Source organism: Homo sapiens, chromosome 17 (assembly GCF_000001405.40).
Source record: "Homo sapiens chromosome 17, GRCh38.p14 Primary Assembly".
Classification (NCBI taxonomy): Eukaryota; Metazoa; Chordata; class Mammalia; order Primates; family Hominidae; genus Homo; species Homo sapiens.
The window spans coordinates 17,059,978-17,080,212 of NC_000017.11; the positions used below are offsets into that span (position 1 = coordinate 17,059,978).

Here is a 20,235-nt window from a genome sequence, read left to right on the forward strand (position 1 = left end):
TAGGTGGCTTATTGGCCCAGCTTTTCCTGGGGTGGGTGGAGGTGGTAGCCTGCACCCAGCCTTGATGTCTTTGCACAGGTAGGAAAGAGTCCTTCTGGAGGACAGCCCCCAATCTCCGCCAGCTTCCTGACCTCCTGCGCAGATGGCCAGGCTGGGTGTGTGCTGCAGGAGGGTGGTCTGTGGCTGGCTCATCTGGAAGTAAAGGCTGTAGGGCTCTTCCTTCCATGTGTGCCTCATGGGCAATGTGCTTTGGGGCCCCACCGGGTCCCTAAGCCCCCACTTGCAGCCTCCCAGGGCCGTGGCCCCAGCTGCATGGATGTGGGGCAGAACTGAGTGCTGTGCTGGTGAGGACCAGACCCCTACCCCTGGGAGCACATCTCACTTGGGAACATGCCCTTCACCTGTGTCACCCTTTACCTTCTGGAATGGCCTGCTAAACTGGGGAGGAGTGTCCCATGGGCCAGGGCCAGTGTGGAACCAGGTGGCCTTGGTGCCTGTTTTGCTTCCACTGCTTCCTGGCTCTATTTACTTGGACAGACCACTGAGTCTCTGTGTGCCTCGGTTTCCTGGGGTATAAAATGGAGGTCATGAGAGCTCATATGCCCTAAGCCCTGGGGTCAGCTCCACTGCCAGCGGGGAGGAGTGCAGACCTGCCCTCGTGCTCCCATAGCTGGGATGTATGTCCTCCCTGCAGAATGCATTCCTGGCAGCTGGTGAGCAGGTGTTCTCCCTCGGAGGCTTGGCTTCCTCCCGGGACAGGGCTCTGGGTCCTGATGATGTTGAAACACTTGCGGGGGCTGTAGCTCCATCTTTAGTATCTGCACAGTGGCTGGCTGTTTGTGGAAGCCTATATTGAGGAAGGTAGTTTGGGTCCACAACTGTGTGGCTGTAGAGCAATAGAACAGTATTCTCCAGGACTCAAGGCCCCATGGACAACTTTTAGTAGTTCTAGCACAGTTTGGTCAACACAGGACAAGCCTGTGGCCTCTTGAGGGGTCTGCAGTGGTGACCAGTGTTCGTCGGCCCTGGCAGGCTTGTTCTGAAAGAGAAGCCCCCATTCTGAGCATGGTCAGAGGTGTGTGCTGAGAACCCACTGTGGGTGAGGCAGGTGGGCACAGCTCCGCCAAGAAGCTTCCCTCCCCAAGTGCTGAGATTCAGAGCCACTGATCCTCTTGCAGTCCATCTGGGTGGCCACAGGACACACAAGGTCTTGGCAGGGGTGAGGCTTGAGACTGGACTTTGCTGTGTGCTCACCCCTGACTTTTACTGACTTACATCAGAATGTCCCAGAAAAGACGGACAACCTTGAAGTCTCCCATGATTTACAAGCTTAGAAAGAGGGCCAGACGGCTGCTACCCAGGTATCCTTTCTCTTTGGAATTGAAATGCAGAGAACATTATTAAACAGCCTATTTGCTGTGAGTGTGGAAGTGTTTCCACAGACACCTTTTTGGGAAAAAGAAAAGGGCAAGAATCAACCTGAAAACTACAGAGGATATATTAGCCACGGTTTGCACGCATTCTGCTTATGGATCTTTCAGTGACTCCAGTGAGGGGCCATCTGTCCCATCCAGTGCCTGAGTGCAGCCCCCACCCCCACCTTTGGTCCAGAGAAGTCTTTGCCCCAAGAATCTGCCCAGAGTTGGGGCATCAGCCCCTACAGGTGTGGGTCCTTCTTCAGGACTGTGTGGAACTTTTCCTTTTGAAGAACTTTCCTGGGGATGACCACTCTGCTTGGAGTCTGGGGTGGAGCCTGGTGTGAGGGAGCCAGCGTAGGGTTTGGGTGCCTGCCCCACCCTCAGAAGCAGGAGCCCAGCAGCCCTTGGACTGACCGGTGCTGTTCTGGGGCTCCCACTGGCTCCTTCCACTGTGGAGCACTCCCGTGAACACTGCTTTGGTTTGAGTACCAGTACAAGTGTTGGGTGTATGTTCCTGACCTTGAGGCATTCTTGATTGTGCAGTTACCTAGGGTATGCTTGTGTCTGACATGATCATTTTTTTTTTTTAATAAAAAATGGCATGGAAGGAGTATGTGTATTTTTCTACTGTAGATTATGAAACTGAGAATCACAGAGATACTGCCTTGCCCTGGGCCACACATCGAGTAGGTGGTGGAGCCAAGACTTGAATTGGCCTTCTCGTTCCCAGGCCAGTGTACATTAAATACCTGGAGCTGTGAGGTCCTGTTGGTGGACAGTAGAGTGTAGGGGTTCCCTAACTACACCTACTTCTTGTTCTGCCAGGAATGACCAAGATCTCCCCTATTGAAGCCACTCTGCCAGGGTTATATCAGAAGTCCTGCGTGCTCGGTCAGGCAGGCATCTTCCCCTCCCTTAAATAATAACTGGTAAGTGCCATGTAGTGGCATTTACATTACAAAAATGGTAAAATCAAGCAAAAGCCCCCAAACCTGCTGCTGATCTTGGCAGTCCGCATAATAGCTGTTTTCTCATCAACTCTCAATCTTTGTCCATCCTTACATGTGTTATAAACAGAACTGACCACGAGCCCCTTGGGAGATGTGTGTGCTTCATGTTTTTATCTGCAGGGCCTTGAGTGGTGCCAGCTTCAGGGCAGCTGCTGGAGAAATTCTGTTGCACACTTCCAGGGGGTGCCGTTCACCAGCGGACAGAGCAGCGGAGCCATGAAGGCCTGCGCAGGACAGGCCAGCTGCGTTGATAGTGTGGGCGGTGCCCTGGAGGGCATCTTGAATCCTTGTCCTCGCTGGTAATTAATGGCCAGGTAGCGTGTTAGGGAGTAGATGTATAGTCACTCTCGAAACTGTTTCTCTGTTGGGTGTTGAGCTCTTCCCACATCAGGAATGAGACTGTTTGCTTCTCTCTTTGTGAGTTCTTCAGGCCCAGGCTCTGGACATGGGCTCACTGTATCAGGAGTGTGGAAGCATCGTGGCTCTTGCATGTGGCCGTGTGCTGCTGTCTGAGTGCCAGCTTTGTCCACACCCTGTCTCTTGTCCTTGGTGGCATAGTGCACACAGTGGCACAACTGGAGACTTGGACTCGAGAAAGGAGAAGTACAAGTTGGATTCAGCCATGTGCGGGGGCAGGCCCTGGCTTGTGTCTACTTGCGCCTCAGTGCTGATCGTCCCTCACTCCTGGGTGCTGACCAGCGTTGTCCTAGTGACCTGGGAGCTCAGGTGTGGGAGGCAGAGGTGCAGTGCAGCCTGGCTTGCCCAGGTCTTGGCTGGGAGGGCCTTCCAGCAGCACTCAGAGCTGTTAGGGAGCAGTTACCTTTTCAGCTGGGTGGGGGTGACTAATAAGTGTACCTGTAGACTTGTGTTTATTTATTTGGTCATTGGAGCCCAACTTTGTACTGGGTGCTTCACTGGATGAGGCAGGATTCTTGTCCCCAGCGAGGAGATGTGGTGTTGTGAGAGAGAAGGAATACATTTGGCCTGGAGCCGGTTAGTGTTCTTGAAGGAGGTGTGGGATTTTGAGGGGTCTGTGTATGAGACAGTGAATCTCCTTATTCCATGGAATAGAAGATGTTTGTGTATGGGAGGTGAGGGGGCATGGGACCATAGAGGGCCTTCTGGGTGGCAGGATGTGATGGGGTGAGAAGAGTGAGACCCACCTGTCTGCATCGACTGTTTGAGGCCTGCCCTCTTTGGTGCCGGATTGCGCAATATGTCTGACTACCTTTCTCCCCACCCACTGCAGTCTAAGGACAGGTGAGTCCAAGGGGACAGGAAACCTGGGTTAACCACCGTTAGAGATCTTGTCACCGACTGTTCCCTTCTCTTGGAGCCACAAACAGGCCACACGGAGTGAGAGCCAAGCATGTTGTGTGGGCTGGTTGTGATGGGGTGGCTGTGTCCAGAGACCTGTGCACGTCTGAGACGCATCAGTGGTGGCAGCTTGACAACACTGGGTATAGTAGGCTGAGATGTTTCTCTGTCCCTTGCCCCTGGCCACCCGCTTGGGGCAGTTGGGCAACCCAGAGTTGAGACAGCTGGGTTCATCCTGGCATGCATCCCAGATTTGCCTGGGGAGGGTGGTGAGGGGAAGGGACAGAAGAACCCTTGAGAGAAGGGATGTGGGTGGCCTCCAGGGAAGTAGTTGGAGAGGCCAGCAGAGCATACGCGGTGCAGCTCAGGGCCATGGCAGGCAGGCGTCACTGAAGAAGGCCCGTGGCCATACCCTGTAGACCCCTGAGGACTGACTGCAGAGGCCACAGTGGCTGAGTTTTGTTTTTCGGTTTTTTTTGTTTTGTTTTTTTTTTTTTGAGATGGAGTCTATCTCTGTTGCCCAGGCTGGGGTGCAGTGGCGCAATCTCGGCTCACTGCAACCTCCGCTTCCTGGGTTGAAGCGATTCTCCTGCCTCGGCGTCCCAAGTAGCTGGGACTACAGGTGCGTGCCACTGTTTTTCCTTTTTTATTAAACTACTTACGTTGAGATAATCGTGTTTCCCCTGTGGTTGTAACAAATAACAGAGATCCCATGTACCCCTTTGCCCAGGTCCTCCGATGGTGACCTTCTGCAACACTGTGGTACGGCACCACGGCTGGGATACTGACTACAATGCAGAAAGCACCCAGTGTCTCCATCGCCTTCTCCCTCCCACATCAACCCAACCCCAGCCACCCAGGAATCCTGCTCCATTTCCATAAATCTGACATTTCAAGAATGTTATGTGAAGAAAATCATACAACCTGGAACCTTTGAGATTGGCTTTTTTCACCTAGAATTCTCTGGCTATTCATCCAGGTTGTTGCTTGGATCAGTAGTTTGCTCCTTTTTATTGCTGACTCGCATTCCATGGTAAGAGGGGACACCTAGGCTGTTTCCAGTTTTGGTCTGCTACGAACAAAGCTGCTATAACCATTCACATGTAGTTTTTGTGTGAGTGTATGTTTTCATTCCCTGGAATAAATATCCAGGAGTGCAGTTCCTAGGTTGTAGGTAGTTGCATGTTTAGTTTTTTTAAAAACTGCCAAACTGTCTCACACCAGCAGTGTATGAGTGATAGATATACTTACTTTGTGACGTTGCCAGCATTTGGTGTTGTCACCATTTGTTTTTTTTAGCCATTATAAAATAAGATGTTCATAAATAGCATGAACACCTCTTCATGCTATTTATCTTCTGTAGAAAGTCTTCTCGTGTCTTTTGCTCATATTCTAATTGGATTGTTTTGTGTTTTCACTATTGAGTTTGAGGGTCTTTATATAGTCTAAATACTAGTATATAGTCTAGATATTAGTCCTTTGCAAAAGGACATTTGCAAAATATTTTATCCTACTTCGTGGCTTATCTTTTCATCTTCCTTAGGACTTTGTGCAGAGCAAAAGTTTTTAATTTTAATGAAGTCCAGTTTATCCATTTAAATATGTTTCATTTTGTCTTGTTTTTTGTATAACACTACTTTCTGTATCAGCTTGAGATGATTTTTTTTTTTTTTTTTTTGCCTGTGGACGAAGGGTCACTCTAGCACCATTTGTTGAAAGACTGTATTTCCTCCATTGAATTCTTTCTGCACCTTTGTCAAAATTGGGCATATTTGTGTTGGTTTATTACTAACTACTGTTCCATTGATCCATGTGTCTGACTTTCCACCAATACCACACAGTCTTCATTACTGTGGATATATAATAAGTCTTGTGATTGGGTAAATAGATTATACCCTCTTTTTTTTTTAAATTAAAAATATTCTAGTTCATTTGCCTTTCCATGTAAATTTTAGAATAATCTTGTCCATATCTATAAAAAGTCTTGCTGGGATTTTGATGGGAATTGTGTTAAACTGAATATCAGTTGGGTGAGAATAGACATCTTAGAATCTTGCAGTCCACGAACACATTATGTCTCTCTTATTTAGATCTTCTTTGATTTCTCTCATCAGTGTTGTGTAGTGTTCAGCATTTCCTGTACATATTGTGTGGTATATACACCTAAGTATTTCTTTTTTTTGAAGCAATTTTAAGTGGTATTGTATTTTAATTTTGATGTCCACGTGTCCGTTGCTAGCATATAGAGATACAATTGATTTTTGTATGCTGATCCTGTATCCTGAAACTTTGTTGAACTCACTAGTTCTAGGAGTTTTTTGTAGATTCTGGGATTTTCTATACAGACAGCTATGTCATCTGTGAATATTTTATTTTGTCAGTTTTGATCTATATGCCTTTTATTTCCTTTTCCTGCCTTACTGCACTAGCTAGAAATTCGCGCACTATGTTGAATAAGAATTCTGAGATGGCCATCATTGCCTAGTTCCTGATATTAGAGGGAAAGCAATCAGCATTTCCCCATTATGTGTAATGCTAGCTGGAGGTTATTTAGAGATGCTTTTATGAAATTGAGCAAGTTCCCCTCTATTCCTACTTTCTGAGAGGTTTTTAAAAATAATTATGAATGGATGTTGGATTTTGTCAAATGCTTTTTCTGCATCAGTTGATAGGACCATGTGGCTTTTCTTCTGTAGAGCATTAATTTGGTGGATTACATTGGTTGATTTTTGAATATTAAACCGGCATCCCTGGAATAAACCCCCTTGGTCATGGTTTATAATTCTATAAATATATTGCTGAATTCTATTTACTAATATTTTGTTGATTTTTGCATCTATAGCAGTCCCCCTTTATTTGCAAGAGATACATTCCAACAGCCCCAGTGGATTCCTCAAACCACGGATAGTACTGAACCTGATTGCTTTCAGTTGGAACTCATTTTTGATTGGAAACAACCTAGATATCCCCTCATGTCAAACCCACAGATACTTTTTTCATCTTTTTTTTTTTTTTTTTTTTTTTTTTTTTTTTTTTTTTTTTTTTTTGAGACAGTGTCTTGCCCTGCCCTGTTGCCCAGGCCGGAGTGTAGTGGTAAAAGCATAGCTCACTGCAACCTTGAATTCCTGGGCTCAAGTGATCCTCATGCCTCAGCCTCCCACGTAGCTGGGCCTCTGCCAGCACTTGCCACCACACCTAGCTATTAATAATTTTTTTTTGGTAGAAACAGGGTCTTGTAGTTCCCAGGCTGGTCTCAAACTCCTGGCTTCATGCCATCCTCCTGCTTCAGCCTCCCAAATGCTGGAATTACAGGTGTGAGCCACCACACCCAGCCATAAATACTTTTTCTATCTTACCTGGGCACTTCATCACGCACAAGGGCTGTAACATTTGCAGTTCGAGGTGTGATAGAAAAATTAGCATGAATTTCTTTTTCTTTCTCAATTTCAGCGATAGAAGATTTATTCTTACTGTACATCTTAGCAACCTCAGCATATGATTTTTTTTCTTAAATTGAAAACTTTTACCATTTCCCTTAAAGGAAGCACTTTATGGCTTCTCTTTGGCATATTCAAATTGCTGTCATCACTACTCTTGTGCTTTGGGGCCATTATGTATAATACTAGCTGGATGCACAAGCACTGCAACACCACCACAGTCCATCTGATAACTGACAGCTACTAAGTGACTAAGGGGCAGGTAGAGTATACAGCGTGGATGCGCTGGACAAAGGGGAGGCTCCACATCCTGGGAAGATGGAGCAGGACGATGCAAGATTTCATCACACTACTCAGAATGGCATGCAGTTTAAAACCTGTAAATTATTTCAGGAATTTTCCATTTAATATTTTAAGGCTGTGGTTGACCGTGGGTAAGGGAAACCGTGGAACTGTGGATGGAGGAGGGGGGAACTACTGTGTATTAATGAGGAATATTAGTCCATAGTTCTTTATTTCATTTTTAAAAAATTTTGGGGTTTTGTCATGTAATTTGTTTGGTTTTGGTGTCAGGGTAACACCAGCTTCATAAAATGAATTGGAAAGTGTTTCTTCTTCTTCTTCTTCTTCCTTTTTTTTTTTTTTTTTTTTTTTTAACAATTATATAGAATTAGTGTCAGTTCCTTAAACACTTGTTAGAAATCTCCAGTAAAACCATCTGGGCTTGGAGATTTCTTTTTTGTGAGTTATGGAATTACATATTCAATTTCCTTAATAGTTATATAATCATTTAAATTATGTGTTTTTTAGAGAAGTGGGTCCATTTCCTATATGTTGTCAAATTAGTGTTGGTAGAATTGTATTAGTATTCCTCATTATCCCTTTGATGTCTGCAGAATCTGTGATGCTATCCCTGTTTTATTTCTGATAACAATTTGTGCCATTATGTCTTTTTTTTTCTTTTTTGGTCTTGTCAGCAGTGTTTTTTTGTTTTGTTTTTTGTTTTTTGAGATGAAGTTTCGCTCTTGTTGCCCAGGCTGGAATGCAGTGGAGCGATCTCGGCTCACTGCAACCTCTGCCTCCCAGGTTCAAGCGATTCTGCTGCCTCAGCCTCCAGAGTAGCTGGGATTACAGGCATGCTCCACTACGCCCGGCTAATTTTATATTTTTAGTAGAGACGGGGTTTCTTCATGTTGGTCAGGCTGGTCTCGAACTCCTGACCTCAGGTGATCTGCCCACCTCGGCCTCCCAAAGTGCTGGAATTACAGGCATGAACCACCGCGCCTGGCTGAAGTTGATCAGTTTTATCAGTCTGTTCAAAGAACCAGCTCTTTGTTTCACTGATTTTTTCATTGATTTCTACCTTTATCTTTTTTTTTTTTTCTTTTTGAGACGAAGTCTCACTCTGTTGCCCATGCTGGAGTGCAGTGTTACAGTCTTGGCTCACTGCAACCTCCGCCTCCCGGTTTCAGGCAATTCTCCTGCCTCAGCCTCCTGAGTAGCTGGGACTACAGGTGTGTGCCACCACACCCAGCTAATTTTTGTATTTTTAGTAGAGATGGGGTTTCACTGTGTTGGCCAGGCTGGTCTCAAACTCCTGACCTTGTGATCTGCTTGCCTCGGTCTGTAATCCCATAGTGCTGGGATTACAGGTGTGAGCCACTGCGCCCAGCCCGATTTCTACTTTTATCTTTTATTATTTCCTTCTTTTTCTTGCTTTTGATATATTTTGTACTTATTTTTCTAGGTTCTTGAGATAGAAGCTTAGATTATTTATTTGAGACCTTTCCTCTTTTCTAATGTGAGCATCATAGTTACGTTAGTTCCCTCCTAGGACTGCTTTAATTGTGTTATTGAGAGGGATGTTGAAGTCTCCAACAATATTTGTGGATTTATTTATTTTTCCTTTTAGTTCTATTAGTTTTAACTTCACATAATTTTGCAGCTCTGATGTTTAAAGGTGCATGAACATTTAGGCTCACTATGTCTCAGTGAATTGACCCTTTTATCATTATATAATATTCCTCTTTGTCTCTGGTCATTTTCTTTGTGCTGAAATATAATTTATCTGATAACATAACAACTCTGCTCTCCTTAGATTAATATTTTCAGGATGTATCACTTTTAGTTTTTTCTTTTCAACCTGCCTGTCATCATTATATTTGCAGTGAATTTTTTGTAGACAGTGTACAGTTGAATTATTTTAAAAATCTACTCTATCAATCTTTTAATTGGTGTATTTAGATCATTTACATTTAAAATATTTACGGATAACTTAGGGCATAGTTAATGCGTCTCTGGTTATTATTTCTGTTTTGTTTTGCTTTTTTTTTTTTCCTGCTTCCTTTGGGTTACTTGAACATTTTCTTTAGAATTGTATTTTGATTTATATATCAAAATATAGTTTTTTAAGTGTATCTCTTTGTATATATTTTTTACTGGTTATAATAAGACGTGACTTTATATAGACATAACTTGTCACAGTCTCTTGGTGGTGTCATTTTACCAGTTCAAGAGAGTACCTGTCTGTTCACTCCTTTACCTTTTCCTTGTATAATTGTCTTAAGTGTTTACTTCACATACGTTTAGAACCACATTAGACAGTTTTTGCTTTAGTCACGAAACAGAAAACTCAAGAGAAGGAAAGCCTAATTATTTACCCCCTCCCTCCCTTTATTTTACTGTGTTCTTTCTTCCTTTCAGATGTTCCAGGATTCCTTCTTCTATGATTTCCTTTTTGTTTAGAAAACTTCCTTTGGCCATTTTGCTAGGGGTAAGTCAGCAAAAAACTTCTCTTAGTTTTCCTTCATCTGAGAAGGTCTGGATTTCCCTTTCATTCCTGAAGGATATTTTTACTGGTTATAGGATTCTAGGTTGACAGGTGTTTTCTTTCAGCACCAGAAAAGTAGTGTGCCACTTCCTTCTGGTCTCCATGGTTCCTGATAAGAAATCTATTGTCATTCTGCTTAGTTTTCTCAAAACTATAAGGTCTTATTTTTCTCTGGCTGCTTTTGAGATTTTTTTTCTCTGGCTTTCTTTGTCTTTTAGGTTTTTCTTTAGTTTAGTTATTGTATGTCTTGGTCTGGATTTCTTTGGGTTTATCCTTTGATGTTCACTAAACTTCTTGAATGTGTAGGTTGCCACTTTTGCCAAATTTGGGAGGTTTCTAGCCATTCTTTGAGCCCTTTTTCCGCTTCACCCTTCCTCCTATCCTGCAGAGACTCTGATGACATGAATGTTAGACTTCTTGTTACAGTTCCACAGTTCCCTTTTATTTATTCATTTTTTCCTGTCTGTTTTTCCTCTGTTATTAGATGGGATGATTTCTGTTGTTCTGTGTTCCAGTTCACTGATTCTTTCATTGCCCCCAATCCTTCTGCTCTTAAGCCCACCCGGGAGCTTTTATTTCAGTTACCGTATTTTTCAATTTCAGGATTTTTGTTTGGTTCTTACAGCTTCTATTTCTTTGCTGTCTTTCCCTTTAATTCAAGTGTGCTCATAATTTCTTGTTGAAGCATTTTATCATGGGTGCTTTAAAATCTTTAAATGTGGGATAATTCTAGCATGGCTGTCATCTTGGTGTTGGCATTTCTTGGTTGTCTTTGTTCATTCAGTTTGTGACCTTCCTGGTTCTTGGTATGATGATGATTTTTGGTGGAAACCAAGTGTTTTTGTATTCTGTTGGGTGACTCTGGGTCTCATTTGAACCTTCTCTTTCAGTGGATTTTTCTGACAGTGCTTCCGTGGGGGAAGGGAGTCACCATGACCACCTGGTTACTTAGATGGAGACAGAAGTCCATCCCTCGGCCTCCACTGATGCCTGAACTGGGAGGCTCCTCATCATGGGTTCCCTTCCCACTGGGCAATGGTAAAAACCCTGACCCTCCTCTGGGCGCCCTCTGACACACCCTAGCATGGAGCAAGAAGGGTCCTCGTTGCTGTTGGTGGGATGTAAGGCCCTTGTGTCTTCTGACACCACCCTGGCCGGGGTGTGGGGCACCTCACAAGGGTGGAAGTCCAACCTTTGCTCACTTGGGGGTGGGGTGCTGCCTTTCCTGTGACTTTTGGCCAGAGTAAGGCGGTTCTTGTCTAAGAGTTTTCTGTCTTGTTGGGCTGCTCCTTTCTGGTTCTTCAGCTATGGAAAGTAGCTTTTTGTTGTTGTTTTTTTTGGTTGTGTGCCCATTGGCGTTTTCAGGTTGCCAGTTTCTCCAGTACCCACTCTGGGATAGTGAGACAAAAAGAAAGCCTGGGAGAGTCACCACGGTGTCCTTCCTTGGATCCTGGGTCCCTGGCCCACTTACCTTTTTTTCTCCACCTTTCAGAGTCTTCTCATGTTTGTCTTATACATGATGGCCCCAGGTTTTTGGTTGTACTTAGCAGGAGAAATCTACATCTGCCCCATCGTCCAGGAAGCAGAAGTTTCAAGGCACTGTTTTTGAAAGAGCTTCAGGTTGAAGGCACACCCAGACCACCAGCAGCCTCTTCCTAGAGGCCAGCCAGAAGTGGAGCCTCCGACTTGTGTGGGTCATGAGTGAAGGCCGAGTTTAATTGGAGAGGAGGTAGCTCGGGGGAGTCTCTCATGTGGTCACTTTTATATGGGATCCGGAGCCACATGCATCCTCTGGGAGGACCTGCATAGAAAGGGGCCCTGTGTGCAGGGCTGCTTGAAACAGGACTCGGGCCCCATCCTTTGGGTCCTTACAGCCCAGCTCAGATCCCCCATGTCAACAACAGATACCTGCTTCTCCTGCCTCCCTCCAAAATGCCCAGCAGCTCAACCAGAAAACAGCAAAGCTAAGCCTACCCACGCAGCATTTCCAGAGCACACTCCCTCCTGCCTGCTGCCTTTTGGGCTGTCTGTTTTAGTGTCCCAGTTTCAGATTATTATAGGACCGTCTGGAAGAGAATACTTTAGGGCCTTTTAGAGGTGCTGCCCCAGGACCAGGTGGGCGTGCGTGGGAGCCTCTGCCCGTGGGCATTGCTGCACTTAAAGACACTGTGGTCTGCTGTGCGGGGGAGGATGCAGCAGTTTTAGATAGTCTGAGACATAGAGAAGCAGCAGCTCTTCCTGGGAGGCCTTTCCCACGCCTTGGGGATGAGGACAGGTTGTCTGAGTCAGGACCTAGGTTATGTAAGGAGAAGGTAACTCAGAGAGGGCACCACCCACCCACTGCTGGCCTAGGCCGGTGGGCACTCACCTCCACTCCCTCTGCACACCTGCCTCAGGATCAAGGACACAGCCAGGGCTAGGCAGACCCCATCCCTGCCTTCCTGGAGCGAAGGTTCTGGGGTGGGGGTGGGGGGCAAGACATGTCATAGCAATGTAATTACGTACATAATGAAATGGTAGGTAGAAATTAGTTCTGTGATGTGCAGTGACGGTAATGGCAGAAGTGAGTTGTTAGAGACTGAGGGGGAGGGTCAGGACTGTCCCCTTGAGGAAGGGACATTTCGGGGAAGCCCTGAGGGATGGTAGAGAGGGCCAGGTTTTGGGGAGCTGAGGAGGCTGGGGGAGGCTGCGCAGCCCACGTGGCTGGCTGTGAGAGGCAAGAGTGGTGGTGATATAGCTGGCCAGTTCCTGTCCCTGGCTCCCTGGACTTGAGGAGTGAGTTCTCAGTAATTACAGATGGCTCCTCATGGCCCCATGGCGCCATCATTCCTGCCTCTGCACCTGTGCATCAGCTGCGCCCCTGCCCAGAGAGTCCTCTCCACCCCAGGCCTCCCCCTGTTATCTATGGGGTCCTTACCTTCAGGGCTTTTTTTTAATAGCTTTATTAAGATAAAATTCACACGTCATACGTTTAACCCATTTAAATGATACAATTCTATGATTTTTAGGATATTCCAACTGATGTGCAGCCATCATCACAGTCACTTTTAGAACATTACATCATCGCCAAAAGAAACCCTGCACCTCTTGGCTGTCACCAACCCCTTCCGCCGTCCCAGCCCCAGGCAGCCACTCCTCTGCTCTCTATCACTCTGGAATTGCTTTGATGAACGCTGGGTGGGGTGTCACCTGCATCCCAGCCTGCTCCTCCACCCAGAGGCCCTACATCTCGCTCTCTGCTCTGTGTCTGCGCCGCCCGCCCACCTGCATCAGTCCCCTCTGTGGTGATCCATATCAGGAAGTCACAGCCAAGCAAAGTGGCTGCTGCAGGCTCCCTGGTATACAGCACCCAGGGCCATGCACACGGGGTTCCTGAGCAGAGGTTTGCTGACGATGCCTGGGTTGAGACCAGGGCTCGGGTTCTGAGGGAACAGATGCTGATCCCTTGGCTCCCCACAGTTCCTCCTGGAGAAAGGTCAGGTAAATGTAGCTGATTATGTGATGACACCCCAAGCCCTGCCTCCAGAGGCCAGGGTGGTGGCGCATAGTCAAGATGGAGATAGAGGAATGGCTTGGCAGGCTAGCCTCTGGCCTCACAGGTGGGCACTTGTGGCCGGTGAGAGGCCGAGCTGGGAGTCACAGAGTCCAGATACACACAGGGAGTTGTCCAGCTCCGGCTTTCCCATGCAAGGCCTCTGGGTGGGGTCTGCTTAGGATGTGCACTCCTGGGTGGGGTGTGGAGAGGCCGAGCGTGTGTGCCCACCTTGAGGTTTGCTGGGCACAGCTGGAGTTCGTAGAGAGCACAGACCTCTCCTCGCCTTTGCTTCTGCCTTCCCAGGTGGGATTTCCACCACATACTCCTTGGCCCTCCTGGACTATGTCTGCAGCCAACACCCACTCCCCTGTTGCAGCAAAGCAAGCCTCTCCTGTCCTTGCAGCTTTCCCCCGACCCCAGGCACACAGCTCCACTTGCACCATTCATGGGGAAAGCCAGTGCTCCTGGGGACCTTGAGGACCCTGCAGGCGGAAGCCAAGTAAAGGGGGGTTCTTGGTTCAGCCTGGAGGCTGTGTGGCCTCTGGCACGTGGCCTGCCCTCTCTGAGTCACGGTCTGCAGCTACCAAATGAGGTAGTGTGGTGGGGCCTCCTAGTTTGGAGAGCACTGAATAAAAAGCACATCAGGAGGACCCATGAGGGGTCCTGTGTGTGTAAGCAGCAGTCAGAGAACTTGGGTTTTAATTTGTGTTACCGCCCTCCGAAAGGCACTGGATAAATGGGACTGGTTGTACCTTTTCCAATGCATTCTCGCCAGCTGGGTGTGGCTGAGGAAGGAGATTGAGCCAGAGTGTCTGTCTAGATTCCCCTTGTTGAGCTCCTCCCGTGGTCTGGGGAGTGGGGACTCTGTGGCTGGTAAAATATAGCAGTGCCTCACATTTGTTGAGACCTCACAGGCCAGACACTGTGCTCAGTGTTCTTTGTGCAGCTTTTTAAGTTGAGCTATAATTCACATATCTTAAGATTCACTCTCTTAAAGTATACAGTTTGGTGAGTTTTAGCATATTTACAATGTTGTGCAACCATCTCCACTGTCTAATTCTAGAATATTTTAGTCACCCACGAAAGAAACCCCATACCTGTTAGCTGTCTCTCCTTATTTCCTTTCCTCCAGTCCCTGGCGACCACTAATCTGCTTTCTGTGCTGTGGATTTGCCTATTCTGGACCATTTGCATAAGTGGAATTCTGTAATATGTGGGCTTTTGTGCCTGGCTTCTTTGACTTAGCATCATGTTTTCGGGGTTCCTCGGTGTTGTGGTGTATGTTAGTGCTTCATTCCTTTTTCTGGCTGAATAATGTTCCCTTGTGTGGACCCATCACACTTTGTTCATCTATTCATCTGTCCATGGATATTTGGGCTGTTACCACCTTTTGGCAGGTGTGAATAATACTGCTATGAACATTCATGTGCAGGTATTTATTTGAGCCCCTGTTTTCCGTTTTCTTGGGTGTGTATACATAGGGGTGAAATTGCTGGGCCCTAGGGTAACTCTGCCTTTAACTTTCTGAGGAACTGCCAGACTTTTCCAAGGTGGCAGCACCGTTTTACATCCCTGTGCTGGGTTTTACTGATTGCATTATCTCATCAGTCCTCACATCAGAGTCATGAGGTTTAGGTAGAATTGTCATCACTCTCACTTTTCAAATGGGAGAGTTTGAACTCAAAGAGTTTCTGCACGCAGTCACACAGCCAGTCAGTTGATGATTCTTTGGCCAGAGCTGGCTTTGATCACGAAAGCAGTCTCTTCTCCAGGCCCTGTTTTGTATCTTCAGGATGAAGCTTTTTGACTGTGTTGTTCATGTCCTATTTCCTGGCGCCTGGCACACACTGACACTCACATATTTGTTGAATAACATGTCATTTTTTCCTGATCTTGGTGGCTTGATCAGTAACTTGCAGGAGACAGCATGTCTTAGGGGATCCTGTACTCTCCAGGTTCTCACACTCCTGCCAGGGCCTGTATGCTCTCCACCCCGGATGCTGCAGAATCCCCGCCAGCCTCTGACTCTCAAGCAGCTGCAGACGCACCGCAGTGGAAATAGGTGTCATGACCTCTGCAGAGCAGAGGCAACATCTGTTTCCAGCGAGTGCTTGCTGTTAACTTGACCTGTTCTCTCTTCTGGGTTGAAGGCTGCTGGTGACCTGCCCTCTTTTTTCTCCTCTAGGCAAAACCCATTTATGGCGGTTGGCTGCTCCTGGCTCCAGATGGGACCGACTTTGACAACCCAGTGCACCGGTCTCGGGTAAGGGCATCAGAGCCAACTCTCAGGGAGGAACCAGAGAAGGGACCCATCTAAGGGTGAACTGGCAGAGTGGAAGAGGGAGATGGAGAGTTGAACAGTGGATCCTGGGATAGCAGGACCAGCAGGGCTCCCCCATTTGGTGCACTTGTACGTTGTACAGAAAAGGTCTCAATTATACATAGTTGTGTGTAGTGCTCCCTTCAGAATGAGGAGCTCTCATGTGGGTGTTGCCTGTTTTGTGGGTCAGGTTGACTCTAGGAACAGTAAAATGGAAGAGGCAAAAGAGCAGTTAAAGGTTTGCATTATACCGAGCAGCTCCCAATTCCTTCCATGCCAAGGCCTGCCCCTGTAGCACCTCCCTTCTTCCTGAGCCAGGGGTTCAGCACACTAGCACTAGTGAAGGGTTGGGGGCCCAGAGGCCTTGGCTTACCTCTTACTAAAATGTGCATTGCCCAGGGCAGGGCCCCGCTAGAGCTGGGACCATCATTGGCCTGACCTGTGGTTTGTTTCTCTGCCAGGAAGCCCCTCTGGATTTGACTCCGGTTACAAAACTCTCCTTCCTCACAAACTTTCTTACAGTGCTGCCGCTTGCACCCTATAAATTGCTTCCACTCAGCCCCCTCCATCCCCGGGAGCTCCCTTTCCTCTTCTTCTTAGTTTCTGCTGCTCATCCTTTCCCCACCCTGAATATTACACTTTGGAGTAGGGGCCTTGGGCTGTGTATTCTGGTCCCACAGGCCTTGCATTGTGTCTCTGTTCTTTGGGATTGCTTCTAGAATGGGTTTTGATTTCAGAGGCTGCACATAAGGCCCTTGGAAATGTTCCTGGGAAACATGTTCAGGTGGCCTCCTCTACACACCCAGCATAGACCAGCCCTCTACAAGGCCTCTTTGCAAGGCCCTTTGAGTCCCTGTTCATGCCACCCAGACAGGAGAACTCAGGCATCACTGGTCCAGCTGGGCTGCAGTTTCCAGGGAGTAGTTCCCTTTCCTATTTTATATCAAGGTTGTACAAAATTGCCATTTCCAGCCTCTGACAGGAGTCTTTTTATAAATGATAACCCTGGCCCAAAGCAGAGAGATGTGCTTTTATAGTCAGTTCACGTGGCCTCACTGCCAGTTAAACTCTGAGTATTGTTGGGCTCTTTGCTTTTTTTTTTTTTTTTTTTTTTTGAAACAGAGTCTTGCTCTGTCACCCAGGCTGGAGTGCAGTGGCATGATCTCGATTCAGTGCAGTCTTGACCTCCCAGGTTCATGTGATCCTCTTACCTCAGCCTCCTGAGTAGCTGGGGCTACAGGCGTGCATCACCATGCCTAGCTAATTTTTGTATTTTTTGTAGAGACGGGGTTTCACCATGCTGCCCAGGCTGGATTGGGCTTGTTGAAATGTTGAAAATAGGTCATGGACCCTTGTGATGATTTGGGGCTGGGAGCTGTGCCTGTCATTCATGACCTGGGCCAGCAGACTCGCATTATGGACAAGTCCCTTCTCCCCACACAAAGGAAGACATACACCGCATAGTCCATTTCATTTCAGCTCCTGATGGCATCTGACCGCCGTGGACACTTCCCAGTGGTCTGGCTTTTGGAGGGAGAGTAGAGCGGGGGATGATCTGTGCCAGTTGGTCACTCCTTGGATATTGGAGTTATTTCCACTGGTCTTGCTGCTCCTCTGTTTTGATTTTCATTAACTCATTTCACCTCAGTGAATTCTGGAGCCTGGCTGTTTTTGTGCCTCCTCTTTGCCAGTGGATCATCAGAACAACCCCTTTTGTAGCAGTTTCCCAGGTTTTTTCAGAAGTGGTGAATCCATGCCTTGGCATTCCTGGATTATTCCATGTCATGTCAGATCATTCATCAAATAAATATTGACACATGTCATGTGATGCATTCTATGCTGAGCACCATCAGGAATACAAAAAGGTAACCACACGTTGTTTCTGCTCCTGAGGAGCTTCCAAGTGTTAAAAAAAAAAAAAAAAAAAGACTTCTTATTAAGCCTCAATCACTCATGTGATTTGGGCCTGTCTCCCAGCCCAGTCCTGGCTGATGAATCAACATTCTTGTGCCTCGGGTCCCTCTTTTCCTGCCACCTGCCCCAGAAGTGGAATCTGTGGAGTGACCTTCCTTAGATATGGACTTGTCAGACGTGGGAACTCCAGAAGCCAAGCTCTGGGGCCAGGACCCAGATCCTCCTAACCACCCACCTTGTGCTCCGTTGCAGAAATGGCAGCGACGGTTCTTCATCCTTTACGAGCACGGCCTCTTGCGCTACGCCCTGGATGAGATGGTAAGTGTTATCCTTGCCCACTCCCTGTCCCCAGCCTTCACCAAGTCCCTCCATTACAGTGCCCTTGCGTTGTCATGTGAGAGCACAGCAGCCATGTGCTCCTGCTTGTGTCTGTTTGGGAGTGTGGAATGTTTTGAAGAACTTGTGGCACCTGCTGGAGACAGCTTTAAAAACCCAGACCTTTGGTTTGAAACATCATCTTCTGTGGTCTTGAGTGAGAGGAAGAAGTGAGGGAGGAAGTCATTTCTGTTGAAGGCTAATAGTGTGGACTTCACTGGAGCACTCCTGGTTAGGGGAAAGCAAGGGCAAAGTCCTGGATCACGTGTGCAGGCTGTGGACCTGTGGGCGTGGGGCAGGGGCTGGCCCTGGGGCTGGCACATGTGCTCACGCACCTAGTCCTGGGGTTGCCTGTCAATTCTGCGACTGTAATTGGTTTTGCTTGTCTCATTTGAGCTTGGCTTAGTTTTCCGAGCTGACTTCAGAGGCCTCCTGGTCACAAGGTCATCGTTCTTCTGGTCACTAAACCAGGCAGACAGGCTTCTTCCTCCTCCCCACCTCCCTGGTTTTCCAGTTGCTTCCTGGGCTGGATGAGTGTTTGCTGCTGTTGCCCCAGAGGCCAAACCTGAAAATCAACTAGGTGGAATTTCTGGCTTTTCTTTTTCCACCCATTTTATCTCCTGACTTTTTCTCTAAAGGAGATTAGTCTCTCCTAATTAATCTAAAGTAGGACTGCATTCCAAACTTTGTAAAGGGTTGAAGATGCGAGATTTGATCGCCTTTTCCAGTTCCACTTGGTGGGTGAATGTTTGTGTGCCCATATGTGCAGCATTTTAAAATTGGGACTGTCCTGGAAAGCCTAGTCTCACTATGTAAAATAGGCAGCCCCTGCCTATCCTACCCAGAGTTTGTTTCTTTGCTGCAGGGGCGAGACAGACTCTGGAAGTATGAGTGGAGATAACTGTCCCTAGAGGTACCTTCCAGACTGCGGCAGGGGGTGGCGGGGGTGCCTGGGATTTTTGGGTGGTCATTACAGCTCACATGTGCAAAGGTCAGAAGTGGGCGTGTTTGTACTCGAGTCCTAACCTTTGTGATGTGATATGTTTTCTACTTTTGTTTCTGGGGTGAATTAAGAGGATGGTACCATAATCCTGTATCAACTGTCACCTCACTGGTTCCTACTTAAAAAGAATTGTCTTCCTTTTCATTCTTTCCGGTGAGCATATTTGTACATCATGATTAGAGCATAGGGGGTTTTTGCTATGGGAACGTCTGTGCTCCAGGGTAGTGTACTGGAGGTGAGCACCGATTGTGGACTTGGCTGGAAGTAGGAGCAGGGAGACAAAGCATTTGGACACTCCGTTCCTTTGAGGCAAGAAAGCAGACCTGGAGGATTAGACTTCACACTTCGTGTTCTCCTGGCTTAGCCCTTACACAGGGAGTAGCCCTGGGGTCAGAGCTGGGCTCCTGCAGCTGTGAGGTTTATCTTGCCTCCCTGTGGCTGACTGACTGGCTGAGTCCTGCAATTGACTTAACAGTATCAGAGGAGCCTCAAGAGGTCACTGGATTACATTCAGGCTGGGCTGGGTCATGAACCATCCCAAAAAAACAAAGTTCCCTGCACTGTTTCCTTGGGGACTGATAATTTCAGTCAGGAAATCTTTCTTTAGGTCTAACTAAAGTCCAGCAAAATCCATTATTCCCTCTGGCTCAGTTGCACAAGCACAAAGAGGGTAGCTTCTGGGGACGCCTTGGTGCTGGCACAAGTGCAGAGCACATGCTGCCTCCCAGGCACGGCTTCTGGATAATTGAGGCCGCTTAGCCAGGAGCACCGACACTTCACAGTGCACTGTGGTCTCCCAGCAACCTGGATATGAGTTGCGTATTATTTCATGGAGTGCTCAGGCAGAGGTGGGACTGTGCCAGGGATGTGGGGAAAGAAAGAAGTCCCAGGGAAAACTTGGACTGAGAGAGGGCATGGGGGCAGGCCCAGAGCTGGGAGTTTTGGGCCACGGGCTGCTTTCTGGCAGATGACCTGGGAGCTGGAGAAACTGACCCAGTGAGCCCATCAGTAAATACTGCTTTGCCCAGCCGAGGCTGTGGAGGGGTTTCCCTGTTGTATCAGGAAGGTCACAGGGG

General features: G+C 47.3%; 1 protein-coding gene across 12 annotated transcripts in view, besides 2 other annotated features; it reads left to right on the top strand.

The window, feature by feature from the left end:
- The window catches only part of MPRIP (myosin phosphatase Rho interacting protein), a 150,187-nt gene that overhangs the window by 17,521 nt on the left and 112,431 nt on the right, over positions 1-20,235 (top strand). For all 12 annotated transcript variants that reach the window (NM_001364716.4, XM_011523764.3, XM_011523766.3 and 9 more), the window contains exons 2-3: positions 15,733-15,810; positions 18,034-18,099. In NM_001364716.4, the coding sequence (NP_001351645.2) occupies positions 15,733-15,810; positions 18,034-18,099 (144 nt within the window). The remainder of the gene's footprint in view (positions 1-15,732; positions 15,811-18,033; positions 18,100-20,235) is intronic.
- Positions 12,177-12,702: an enhancer, noted in NCBI's record as "H3K27ac-H3K4me1 hESC enhancer chr17:16975468-16975993 (GRCh37/hg19 assembly coordinates)". NCBI's record gives its function as "activates a minimal SCP1, AML or CMV promoter by ChIP-STARR-seq in primed H9 embryonic stem cells {active_cell/tissue: H9 hESC(primed)}" and the evidence as "EXISTENCE:reporter gene assay evidence [ECO:0000049][PMID:30033119]".
- Positions 12,703-13,229: an enhancer, noted in NCBI's record as "H3K27ac-H3K4me1 hESC enhancer chr17:16975994-16976520 (GRCh37/hg19 assembly coordinates)". NCBI's record gives its function as "activates a minimal SCP1, AML or CMV promoter by ChIP-STARR-seq in primed H9 embryonic stem cells {active_cell/tissue: H9 hESC(primed)}" and the evidence as "EXISTENCE:reporter gene assay evidence [ECO:0000049][PMID:30033119]".